The sequence below is a fragment of the Homo sapiens genome, chromosome 1 (assembly GCF_000001405.40).
Source record: "Homo sapiens chromosome 1, GRCh38.p14 Primary Assembly".
Taxonomy (NCBI): domain Eukaryota; kingdom Metazoa; phylum Chordata; class Mammalia; order Primates; family Hominidae; genus Homo; species Homo sapiens.
In genome coordinates, this window is record NC_000001.11 from 105667883 (window position 1) to 105681698 (window position 13816).

The 13816-nt window shown below is 32.9% G+C and overlaps 1 long non-coding RNA gene across 1 annotated transcript; it reads right to left on the minus strand.

Annotated features, from left to right (window-relative positions):
• Positions 1 to 968: 968 nt before the first annotated feature.
• LOC105378882 (uncharacterized) lies at positions 969 to 5408 on the minus strand. The gene is made up of 3 exons (XR_947659.2): positions 5298 to 5408; positions 1513 to 1555; positions 969 to 1258 (listed from the first exon to the last, which is right to left on the minus strand). It is a non-coding gene; the product is annotated as an uncharacterized LOC105378882 (long non-coding RNA).
• Positions 5409 to 13816: the final 8408 nt, after the last annotated feature.

Below are 13816 nucleotides of genomic sequence, written 5' to 3' on the forward strand. Positions count from 1 at the left end.
ATCCCACGGAGAATATGAACTGGAACATTTTTTAGATCAGCATAAAGCGTGGAAAATAAACACCACTCAGAGGATTTCCTCTCAGGTATTCATCATCTGGTTCCAAGCATGAGTCAGTTCAATTTTCCCTCCATGCTCAGGAGGTCACCACTGTGGAAGGAAGCTCTACCTTGCTTCCCATCCCATTACTCCCTTCACTCTCATCTGTAGTTTAAGGGACTGATAGAATACAGTAGCATATTATTTGAGCCTAAAGCACAATGATCTATCTGCCTTCAGAAAATTCACTACTCACCTGCTCTAACTTTCCATTCAAGAAAGAAGAGAATTAAACATTGCAATGAATTTGTGATTATGCTATGTTAAAATGCGGACCTGGCTTAGGGAAATGACCAGAGAAAATTAGCAGACGGCTTTTAAATACTAGCCTTTAGAAACTATGAGGGTTGAAGAGAAGTGCCTTCTTGAATAGCCACTTAATTTTGTTTATGTTCCTTCTCTCCAAGGTCAATTTTGTATGTATGCACAAAAGACTGCTGCCTGCGATGTGAATCAAGAAAGGACAGGAAAAAAATTCTACTTTTAATATTTTTAGTTTGTAGACTTTCAGAAAAATTTACATCCACTTTATTAGTGTGAAAAATACTGTTAATTATTAAAATTCAAATATAATGTAAAGAATTATTAGCTCATTAAACTATAAATTAAAGTATCAGAATTCAAGTAAGCTAACCAGGTATCCTAGAAAAACCTAAAGAAATACAAATCCAACAAAATGATTTAGACTGTGGGGAAGGAATCAGGATATTTCAGCTAACCTAAGAGTTTTCTATACCATAATGTCTGCGTGTGTGTGTGTGTGTGTGTGTGTGTGTGTGTGTGCGCGCGCATGTGTGTGTGTATCTGAAAATAGAAAAATGAAGCAGAGAACTCATAGAACACAGTATTCTTAATACTGTACAGTTGCTCCTATTCACTATTTCTTCTCCTCTGAGTCATTATTCCATTTCCTTTTCTCCTGATTTTCTTGACTCTACTCTTTATATTTCTGCTTCATTCTTTGGAATTCCCTACAGTCTTTAATAACTTTATCTCTAAATGTTTTCTCCAAATGTTTACAACATCTTCACCTTTTGTTTAAGGTACAATTTCTTTTCAAACACTCTCAGTGGAAGCTAATTCATTCTCCAGTACTCATATCATAATCTCTGAAAATGTGATCAGCATCCTGTTTAGGTTCATACCCACTTTCTTCTCCCTTTCATTAGAAAAGAAACATATATTAGGGTTCGGCAACTGTACTAGCTATAGGGATTTCCTGAAAAAAAAGGCAGTATGATTTTTACCTCCAGAGCATTTATAGTTTGCAAAAATGTTCATTATAAAAGTCATAACAATAAAGTATAATTAAAGCTATTAGAGAGAAAAGATAGACATCATTAAAAACAGAGCAAAAACTTTATTTTAATAATTAAGGAAAAAAATGCCCTTTGGATGTAATTTTTAACTTACATGTACAAAAGAGGAGCAGTAGCTACCAGTAGGCACTTTTGTTCTAGAAGAGAAAAAGGAAGAGTGTGTCATAATGGAAATAAGATGCATTGTATTTGGGAAGCACTGGAAATATTTATTATAGCTAATGCATAGTAAGCATATGGTAAAGGAGAAGAAGCTAAGGCTAGATAAGTCTACAAAACAGATCTTGTAGAACCTTGCTTATTGTGTTTAAGGGTTGAATTCCATTGTAAGGAAAACAAGAAGTGAATGAACCATTAAAAGGAGATGTGCTAATATATTTGCATTACTGGAAGTCCACTCTGATTGCTTTGATTATAGTCACGTGCCACATAAAGACATTTTGGTGATGAAAGATTACATGTAACACAGTGGTCCCATAAAACTACAATGAAGATGAAAATTTTCTATTGCTTAGCTATGTTGTAGACATCATAATAGTGCAATTTTTATTTTTATAATAAATTTAGGATAGCACAGGTGTACAGCATTTATAAAGTCTAGAGTAGTGTACAGTAATGTTCTAGGTCCCCAGATTCACTCACTACTCACGCACTGAGTCAGCAAGAGCAACCTCTAGTGCTGAAACCTCCATTCATGGTAAGTGCCCTATAGAGGTGTACCATTTTTATCCTTTATACCACGTTTGTACTGTATTTTTCTATGTTTAGATAAGTTTAGATATACAATGGTAAAAAACTGCCATATTGCCTGTGCTATTCAGTACATAGTATACATGTTTATAGCCCAAGTGTAGTAGGCTCTACATAAAACCTAGGAATGTAGTAGGCTATATCATCCAGGTTTGTGTAAGTATACTCTATGATGCTTGAAGCATAATTACATTTCCTAATGATGTGTTTGACTTACACAAACCTCAATTGTATAGCATGTATCCCCGTTCTTAAGTGATATGGCTGTAGTTTGAAAGTGAGTTAGCTTAAAGATTCAACTAAGGTAATTTTCTTTAAAAAAGTTGTAGCCCAGATGAATATATTTTCGGTGAAAACGGCAAAATTAGATTGAATTTAGAAGTATTTATGACATAGCATTAAAACTGCTTAGTGGTTTATTGGATTAAGAGACATAGTAGATTTAATAAAAGCTAAAAGTTTAGACAACTGTTTAAGAAACTTTTACTCTATGCATGGAGATAGAGTGGCTCCTGGCAGGAGTAATAAAAGAGAGGATTATGCATTTAAAGTTGAATTAATTATTGAAGTATTTTAATACTGATTCAATAAAGTTATTAAAATTAGAGGATGAGATGAAGATACAAACGAGAAAGATACATTTGGATTCAGGTTCCTTGAAGAGTTAAAAAGGCATGAACTCCAGGGTGTAGGTGAAAAAAGAGACCCTAATCAAAGAAACAGCTCTTCTATTGGTATAAAGAATACAGGAGGAAAGCATGTTGTACATGCTGGTAACTTAGTTGCAAAGAAGTTAAAGGTGTTCTCTCCTGATGGCTGTCATTATTTTCTGTGAAATAGGAGGCAGGACCATCTTCTAAGATGTGGGAATTAAGGGTCTTAAGTTTAAAAAGGGTAGTGAATATGTAGTCATTGTGGTAAACGAAAAAAAAAATTGACTTTTGACATATTTATAAATAGATTATGCAATTTTAAGGACTTTTTTTTTAGTGACTATGAGTGTGACACAGCAAGAGTATGTCCAGTAGCTAATATTTCTGGTGGCTTTACATTGAATGAAATGACTCCTAGACTGGCAGCCATTTTCTATGGAAGGTGAAAGGGGAATGTAGATGAGCAGAAAAAATCTCTAATATTTTTCTAATTACTCTTAATATGGAAAAAAGAAGACTGAGTGAGAGAGTGTGTAGCCAACATGGGAAAAATATAATGTAAAACTCCTGAGGATAAACAACTCAATTTATTATCCCTCTCCATCGCAGGATTTAGCAGAGGAAGGAAAAACAAAATTTGTCAATGTCAAAAACAAATTATTTGAAACCTGGTGTCCCCAGAATAGAATAGACCACTCATTCTCAGGATGTATGCTCATGCAGGTGATTAAAAAAAAAGTTTTTGAAGAAATAGCAGAGTTCAGATTTCAAGAAAAATATTGGACATAGATGTATCAGAAGTCTCTTTGTACCCCTGACTGGTTATCCTAGGCTACTAAAATGAGAGGGAATTCAAACCAAAGATTTCAAAATCTCACTCAAAAAAGAACAAGTATAATGGTCAGATTTGGTGCAATGGGAGACAAGAATGTACTCACACTTGATTAAAGCCAAGAGAAGGTTTGAACAGAGCCACTCAATTTGAATGTAAACAGCAACAGCAATATTAACAACAGCAAATAATGTAAAATAGGCAAATATATTACAATAAAAAATAAAAGTAGAAATTAGAGTTTAAGAATCTGAAGATACTAAGGGAAAAATTAAGGGGAAGACACCCATTTCATGCTTTAAAGAACATAATAACCATAATGATTCTGTAAAGTAAGAGCACCAAGACAAGGCAATAATATAATGAAATCAGATTTTAAATAGTGAGTTCACAAGGACAGAAAACAAAATAAAAATCAAAATAATACAGTCACAACTAATGTAAAAGAAAATGATTTCAAAATTAGAGAAATTAAAGAAAATGTTAATTGATAAGGAGGACAGAGAAAAGCTATTACTCTTTCTAATGAAGAAAATGTAAGTGAAAAAAAATACTCAGATATATTCCAGACTTCTGGGAAATACGGCTATCTGAGGAAATTTAGGTAATGACTTAGATTGTTCCTAAAATTAAGTAAATTCAGTTATATCTGTGTATAAGAGAGACGCTAGAAAATTTAATGACACTACAATGCCAAGGGGGTAAAATGCACATTTTTAGGTGTTATTTATGTATTTTTATTCTACATAGGTATGTATTGGAATAATTCAGAAATGTTAAAAAATAGAATTCATCAGAGTAGCTAGCCATGGTAACCAAGAGTGAAGTACAGCCATCAGTTAAATAAATGTTATTGTTTCTTCCCAACGTTTTCTCTCCAATATACTGGAGAAGAAGGAAAGACAGTATAGAGAAGTAGGGAAGAAAATACATCACTTACTTTGGGTTTAGGGAACATCATGAAAGGTAGCCCATTTAAATAAGCATTTCCTCATTCTTAAGGAAAATATACTACCTTAATAAACTAGCACAAGTAGATTTAAAATCAAAATTTCCAAAATTTTAGCTTTCTGTTAAAATTATTTCCCTTGTTCAGATTTGATGGGTCAAATAAGGTAAGAGTCAAAATCCCTGTATCTTGTCTCCTCACTCCAGGAAGGCATTTTAAACATAAAATAGTGAACAGAAATACTATATTCTGGAATGAAGTGTCATACCTTTAGTTAAACTATTATGTCACCACTTCTTACAATCCTATGAACTCTACCCCATGTTTGTTTCCTTGTATCTAATTATAACCCTTAAATCTGGCTTGATATTACCCTCTTCTTCAACACTCTTTTTGAACATTCTGCTAAATTCTAATTCTAGTTATTATACTTTGAGTTTTCTTACCATCTCTTCCACCCCGTCTCAGTTTCACAAATGGTCACAAATATCTCCAGCCTGCTTAACACTAACTTATACTTCCTCCACTTTTCCAATGTGTAGTTCCCAACTTTGACTTACTATCAAAATGCTGAACCTGCCTCATGCCTTTTAATATATATTGAACACCCAAAGGTACCATATTTGGCCCTTGGTTCAAAATTTGTCATTCTATCAACCCAAATATCCTTTCTATTCAATGAAAAAGACACTTACCTTATTTCTTCACAGCAGATTCTTACTTCAGTCATATTCTTTCAGTGAGTTTCTCTCTTTATCTGAGACGATGTCGGCACGTTCTGGTTCATAAGTACATCCATTTCGTCCCGCTCAACTATTGTAATATAGACATACATACACATAATGAATACATTTCTTCAACACTTTTGATTAATCTGTGCTATATTTTGTTATTGAAATATGGTTTTACTATGAAATATGGTTTCTACATTAGAAGCCTTACAGGGATGCTATTCTCAATAGCCTTTCTTTGGTAGTTTGCAATCACCAATAACTCAGCAGTGTAAACACTGATTTAATGTAATACTGAGTGTTATTAATGCTGATTTGACTTAATTGGATTTATTTTTTAAAAGATGCAATATCCATCCACAGCAAAATTAATAAATACATTGTGATAATTCATACAATGGAATACTAAACAGCAATGAGAATGGAAAACCTTCAATTGCAGCAAAAAATTATGATGACCCTCACAAACTTGATGTACAGCAAGAAAAGTAAGACACAGAATAATACATATGATACAATATGATTTCTTTCTTCCTTTTTAAAATTTAGTTTTAATTAAAAAATGGCAATACATATTTATGATATGCAACATTATGTTTTTAATAATTTCAATATTTATTCCAGATTCAAGGATACATGCACAGGTTTGTTACATGGATATATTGTGTGATGTTGAGGTTTAGGATATGGTTGATCTCATCACCCAAGCAGTGAGCATAGTACCCAATGGGTAGTTTTTCAGCCCATTCCTCCCTGATTCCCTTCCCCCTTTAGTAGTCTATTGCTCTCATTTTTATGTCCATGTGTACTTGTGTATGTAAGTAAGAACAGGTAGTAGTTGGTTTTCTGTTCCTGAATTAATTTGCTTAGTACAATGGCCTCCAGCTGCATCCATGTTGCCACAAGGGACATGATTTCATTCTTTGTATGGCTGTGTATTATTCCATGGCCTACAGGAACCACATTTTTCAATCCAATTCACCAGTGATGGGCATCTAAGTTGCCTTTCCTATTGTGAATAGCACTGCAATGAACATACAGGTGCATGTGTCTTTTTAGGAGAAATATTAATTTTCATTTGGGTATATGCCCAAGAATGGGATTTCCCAGTTGAAAGGTAGCTCTGTTTTAAGTTCATTAAGAGATCTCCAAACTGCTTTCCATAGTGGTTGAACTAATTTATATTTTAACCAATAGTGTATAAGCATTCTCTTTTCTCCATACTCTTGCCAGCATCTGTTATTTTTTGACTTTTTAATAACAGACATTCTTACTGGTGTGAGAAGATATCTCATTGTGATTTGGATTTGTTTGATGGTTAATGATTATAAAATTTTTTTCTTGTTTGTTGCACTTGTATTTTTTTTTTTTTAGACGGAGTCTCACTCTGTTGACAGGCTGCAGTGCAGTGGCATGATCTTGGCTCACTGCAATCTCCGCCTCCCAGGTTTAAGAGATTCTCCTGCCTCTGCCTCCTGAGTAGCTGGGACTACAGGTGTGCACCACCACACCCAGCTGAGATGGGGTTTCACCATGTTGGCCAGGATGGTCTCGATCTCTTGACCTCGTGATCTGCCCACCTTGGCCTCCCAAAGTGCTGGGATTACAGGTGTGAGCCACTGAGCCCGGCCATATGTCTTCTTTTGAAAAGTGTCTGTTCATGTCCTTTGCTGATTTTCATTGGAATTGTATTTTGCTTATTGAATTGTTTAATTCATTAATTAGTAAATAATAATGAAATGGATTGTTAAATAATTCTGGACATCAGACCTTTGTTAGATGCTGTGTTAGTTCTGTCTCACATTGCTAAAAGGAAATACCCAAGACTGGGAAATTTATACAACAAAGAAGTTTAATTGACTCACAGTTATGCACAGCTAGGAAAGCCTTAGGGAACTTACGATCATGGCAGAAGGCAAAGGGGAAAAAGGCACCTTATTTACAGGTCAGCAAGAAAGAGAAGGGCAAACAGGGGAAATGGCAGGCGCTTAGACAACCATCAGATCTTGTGTGACTCATTCACTATCATGAGAATGGCACTGGGGAATGATCCCCATGATAGAGTTACCTTCATCTGTGGTCCCACCCGTGACACGTGGGAAATGTGGGGATTATAATTCAAAATGAGATTTTGGATAGGGAAACAGCCAAACCATATAAGATGCATGACTTACAAATATTTTCTCTCATTCTGTAGATTGTTTACTCTGTTGGTAGTTTCTTTTGCTGTGCAGGAGCTCTTCAGTCTAATCAGTCAATTTGTCAATTTTTGTTTTTGTTGCAATTACTTTTGAGGAGTAGCCAAAAACTCTTTGCCAGAGCTGATATCAAGAAGTATATCTCCTAGGTTTTCTTCTAGTATTTTTGTAATGTGAGGTCTTACATTTAAATCCATTCTGAGTTACTTTTTGTTTATGGTGAAAGGAAGGGGTCCAGTTTTATTCTTCTGCATATGGCTAACTAGTTATCCCAGCTCAATTTGTTGAATAGGGAATCCTTTACCCATTGCTTGTTACCATCAGGTTTATCAAAGATCAACTGGTTGCAGGTGTATCACTTTATCGGTTCTCTATTCTGTTTGATTTATCTATGTATCTGTATTTTACCAGTGTCATACTGTTTTGGTTACTGTGGCCTTATAGTATAGTTTAAAATCAGCTAGTATTATGCCTTTGGCTTTGTTCTTTTTTCTTAGGATTGCTTTGGCTATGTGGGCTCTTTTTTTGTTCCATATGAATTTCTATAACATGCAAAAATCAGACAAACCTACCTATCCTTTTAAAAGATAGTAAAATGGCTACTCCTGAGAATTATGGGGTAGAAGACAAGAGATAATTAAAACAAGGCATATTCAGAAATTCTGGGTTGAAAGTTATGTGGTGTCATTGATTTGGATGCTGTTTAGATGGGCTTATTTAGTTTTTTAAAAAATATATATTTAGCTATACACTTTTAGGATTTTTGTCATTTTCGTTAGGTATATTATAATTAAGCTTTACAATGTGGAAAATAATTATATTTCTGGAATAAAATGACATTTCAGTCATTATCTGCTGGGAGAATATAGAGACTGATAGTAGATAGATAGATAGATAGATAGATAGATAGATAGATAGACAGATTGATAGTAGAGAGATTCTGTTGCTACTAACCAATAAATAACTTGTTTGTAATTAACAAGTTTTTCCTGGAATTTACATTCATCATATTTTGGTCTGTGACCCAATATTTATAATAGCAAATATAGATTATATTCATAGAAAAGTGTCCTTTGTAAAGCTATCATCAGTGAGGTCGACCTATGAACCACAGCTCTGAACTTAATAAGTTTCACAAGCTACTCGTAATCTTGTCCTAAAATGCTGACATACAAATCAACAGAAATATTTAAATGTGCAACTGAAAGCAGTATTTGAACAACAAAGTTGTAAAATTAAAATAATAATGTATAAGTTTAAATAAATTACATACACACTCAGTAAATATTACTCTAAATATTTTGTTTCTGAAATAGTTTCTTTATTGACTTTGAAATAATTTTTCTAAGGATTTCCTCTTATAAATAGGAACATAGAACACATGGAATGGATTAGTTGGTTGGCATTTCAGCTTTGTTCTTCCATTGAAAGGTCAACTTGAAGTATTTTAAATATTACATGTCTGTGAAGCCCAGTTAAAGCAACAACAGTTATTCTTTAATCTTTTGAAGAAATCTACTGCATACCTATTGTAATCCATACTCACTACCAACCTTTTCAATAGTTATGAGAATTAAATAAAGTTGGCTTTTCTAGCAGTGCTGTTGAGAGTTGCTTAGTGTTACTGACCTTTTCTTCATAATTGCTTCTACTTTTCCCATCAATCTTCTGGAGAGGATGATTCCAGCTTTCTGTATCCATGTTACCAGGACTGTAATTATGGAAATTTATTTATATTCCCATACCCTCCATTAAGAAAATATTGAGGTTGTCTCTTCCAGCATGTAGATCCTCCCAATAACTTGGGCAAGCACTTGCGTGATTTGCTCTTATAAAAAAAGGAATATCCTAGAATTCTTACCATGTTTACTCTAATTTAACCATTTCATATAATATTGTCCTGGATGAACATTTTAATAATAGAAGTAAATATACTATTTTTTTAAAAAAGCAAAAATTCAAGGAAAAACCACTAAATGATGATGCACTGATTCCACCATTTCCCATTTTCTTATTTAATTAATCCATAATAGTGTCATAGTATTCTTTTTAAGGCAGCCCAAGTGATTTAATATAAAGTCAAGACTAAGGACCACAATACAATGGCAGGGACTTTCAAACCATGTTTGTAGGCAGGGCTATGAGATGAAATTAGAATGCCAAATTTAGAAGGTAAATTCTAGAGTGGTGCCCAGATTATTTTACCACAACTTAAAACTGAGGCACTCTATATTTTCAGCATTGAGAAGTTATGCTTGCAGGAAATGTGAAGTTTCTAAAAATTATTGAGATTTATCTAATTAAGTAATTGCTTCTGATTTTCTAGAACTGTGGTTAGAATGGTAGTGTCACATTTAATTTAAAGGTTCACATATACATACACATGCACAAATAAATGCATTCATAATAGTAGAGTAGATGAGCAAATAACTGTTTTGCTGTATTTCCTATGATTCACATAAATACTCATTGTAAACTGGTCCTTCCCTCCTCCCAATACATTTTTCAAAGCATCCATTTGGATCACTGAAATATTTTTTCTTTCATGTATTAAATGCACATGGTGAGAGATTTGAGTAAAATTGCTACTTGAAATCAGGCACCAAAGGTTATATAAGTATAAGCATAGGAATGCAAAAATAAACAAAAAAATAGTATTTTGGAGATATTTTTTGATGGGTCACACTCTGCTATTTGAGAAAGAAAGAAACACCATGTGTATTAGATTAGACCTGCTCTGCTGAGCTTTTTGAAGATTAAATTGAACAGTGCAATATTTTCTTTCATAGTCTAAAAAAATAGAAACTATGTACAAAATTTGGATAAAGAAACTCTGACAATAAAGAGCAAATGGAAAGAGAAATAATTACCCTATCTAAAATCAAATATTAAAATAAGATATCCATCAAGAGTCTTTTATACGTGATGCAAAGTGGTTGTTCTCAATGTAGGCTGAAAATCACCTGAGGAGATACAGAACATATTTTCTGGAACGAATTCACGGAGTTTCTGACTTAATTGACCTGTGGTATAGTCTGGCAATCTGTGGATGATTTCATTTGCTTTGCTTGTTTGCTTACTTTTTTTTTTTTTTGATTCATTACAGCTTCCTAGGCAATTCCAACTTGCAGATAGTGACAGTGCTATGAATCACTAGAGGATTTTAGAATGCAGTGATAGTCCTCCCAGGAAATGGGTTGTAATGGCTAAATATATGCAGATACTTAAAGGCAAGAAATAAAGGACTATTCAAGAAATAGGACACAACAATTAACTCAAGAGGAAGGTGACTATGACTATTGGGAGAAGGTAACTGGGAGCATAAATAATACTTTCTATTAATGGGCTGTGGAGGAGTGCTAAAGCTGAGAGTTATTGTTAGATCACCTCTTGGTAGTTGATGAGGTGGCTCCCTTTGGCATAGGGGATAAGATACAAGTACCATTTAATGTGTTTTATTTTATACACTTTTAGGTTTTCAGTAGGTCTAGTTTCTGATTGCTAAGATTTAATTTGTATTTTCGGTTTTAAATTATATACACCTATACTTGCATAAACTTATACAAAAATTTATATGGTTTAACATTTTAACATACCTTCAACAATTTCGTGATGCCAAATTATTATTGGTATTTACAATCCACTTCTCCTTCTCCAGGGCTCATTTTCTAGAATAGCTTGTTCTACTATAAAAATAACAATCCTTTGTTAACAATTTACTATGTGCTAAGATCCATGTTACATTCATGAAGTGCATTATCTTACCCCTAACAATCTCTAAGTTAAAAAGTGAAAAATTATTCTATTTTACATGTGAGAATTCAAGGCTTAGAAAATTAAATCTATTTCTTGAAGACTTAAAATTCTGAATTTTTACTCAATCTTATTGACCCTAATGCCAAAGCTATTTGATTTAAATAATTTCCTTTTTACTTTGACTTATTTAATTGTAATTGTTTTTAAGTCTTTATTTTTACTAAAATTAACTATTTTAGTGTTCTTTATTTGTATGCACTTTAAAACTAGTAGTACATAGTCTCTTATTTGTTAATATTTAGCTTCTATTTTCAGATTTTAAGTTTATCTTTTATATAATCATGTGTTTATTTTTCATTCCATTAGTTACATTCTTTTATATATTTTGTATTGAATATTAAAGTCATCATACGTTAAGTATGAACTTTTATTGCAATATAAAATATGAACTTTCTACACATTATATTTATTTTATTATCTCACAATACTTCTAATTATTTGATTCTGTTTTTTCTGATAGTTCTCTATTACTGTTGATTGCCTCTCTTTTTATTATTATTTTTAATTTTTCTTTAGAAAAATCACATTACATAACTTCAAATTACACCACAGAGTTATAGTAACCAAAACAGCATATCACTGGAATAAATACAAACACATAGACCAGTGGAACAGAATAGAGAACGCAGAAACAAATCCACACACCTACAGGGAATTCATTTTCAGCAAAGGTGTCAAGAACATACACTGGGGAAAGGATTGCCTTTTCTTCAATAAATGGTGTTAGAAAAACTGTAAATCCATATGCAGAAAAATGAAATTAGATCCTTATCTCTTGCCGTATATAAAAGTCAAATAAAAATAGATTAAAGACTTAAATCTAAGGCTTCAAACTATGAAACTACTATAAGAAAACATCGGAGAAAATCTCCAAGACATTGATCTGGGCAATTGCTTGAACAATACCCCACAGCACAGGCATCCAAAGCAAAATGGGTAAATGAGATCACATCAAGTTAAAAAACTTCTGCATAGCACAAGATACAATCAACAAAGTGAAGAGACAACTCAGAAAACGGGAGAAAATATTTGCAAACTACCCATGTGACAAAGAATTAATAAACAGAATATATAAAGAGCTCAAATGACTCTATAGAAAAATATTTAATAATGTGGGTTTTATATTTAAGTCTTTAATCCATCTTGAGTTTATTTTTATATAAGGTGTAAGGAAGAGGTCCGGTTTCAGTCTTCTGATTAAAAAACAGGCAAAATATTTGATTAGACATTTCTCAAAGGAAGACATACAAATCGCAGACAGGCATATGGAAAGGTGTTCAATGTCTTTGAACATAAGAGAAATGCAAATCAAAACTACAAGGTGATTACATCTCACCCCAGTTAAAAGGGCTTATATACAAAAGTCAGGCAAAAACAAATGCTGATGAGGATATAGAGAAAAAGGAAACCCTTATACACTGCTGATGGAAATGTGAATTAGTACAACCCCTATGGAGAACACTTTAGAGATTTCTCCAAAAACTAAAAATTGAGTTATCCTAGGATCTGGCAATCCCACTACTGAGTATATACCCCAAAGAAAGGAAATCAGTATATCAAAGAGATATCTGCAGTCTTATGCTTGTTGCAGCACTGTTTACAATAGCTAAGATTTGAAACCAACCTAAGTGTCTATCAACAGATAAATGGATAAAGAAAATATAGTACATATGCGTAATGGAGTACTATTCAGCCACAGAAAAGAATGAGATCCAGTCATCTGCAACAACATGGTTGGAAGCAGAGATCATTATGTTGAGTGAAAAAAGCCAGCGCAGAAAGACAAACATTGACTTTTCTCGCTTATTTGTGAGATCTAAAAAATCAAAACAATTGAAACTCATGGATATAGAGCATAGAAGGATGGTTACCAGAGGCTGAGAAGGGTAGTAAGGGGCTGGGGAGGAGATGTCGATAGTTAATAGGTACAGAAAAAAGAATAGAAAGAATAAATAAGACCTACTATAGTCTGTAATAACTTCATTGTACATTTTAAAATTACTAAAGAGTGTAATTAGATTATTTGTAATTCAAAAGATAAATGTTTGAGGGGATAGATATCTCATTCTCCATGATGTGCTTATTTCACATTACATGCCTGTATCAAAACATCTCATGTTTCCTATAAATATATATACCCACTATGTAACCACAAAAATAAAAAATTAAAATTAAAGTAAAAAATAAAAAATATCAGTGAACAAAACCAAAATCGTCTTCTTGGTAAATGAATTTATAAATTATATAGTATGATAGAAAGCTACATATTTTATAGAAAATCAAAGTATAAAAATAATTTTAAATAGGCTAGTAGGTAGTCTATTGAAAAGAAAACATTTGGATAAGAATTATATTAGTGATACAGGGGATCTATATTTTAGACAGAGGAAATACTGGAGTCAGGTATTCTAGGAGCACATATTCTATGAGAACTGAGTCAGGTATTCTAGGAGCAGATATTCTATGAGA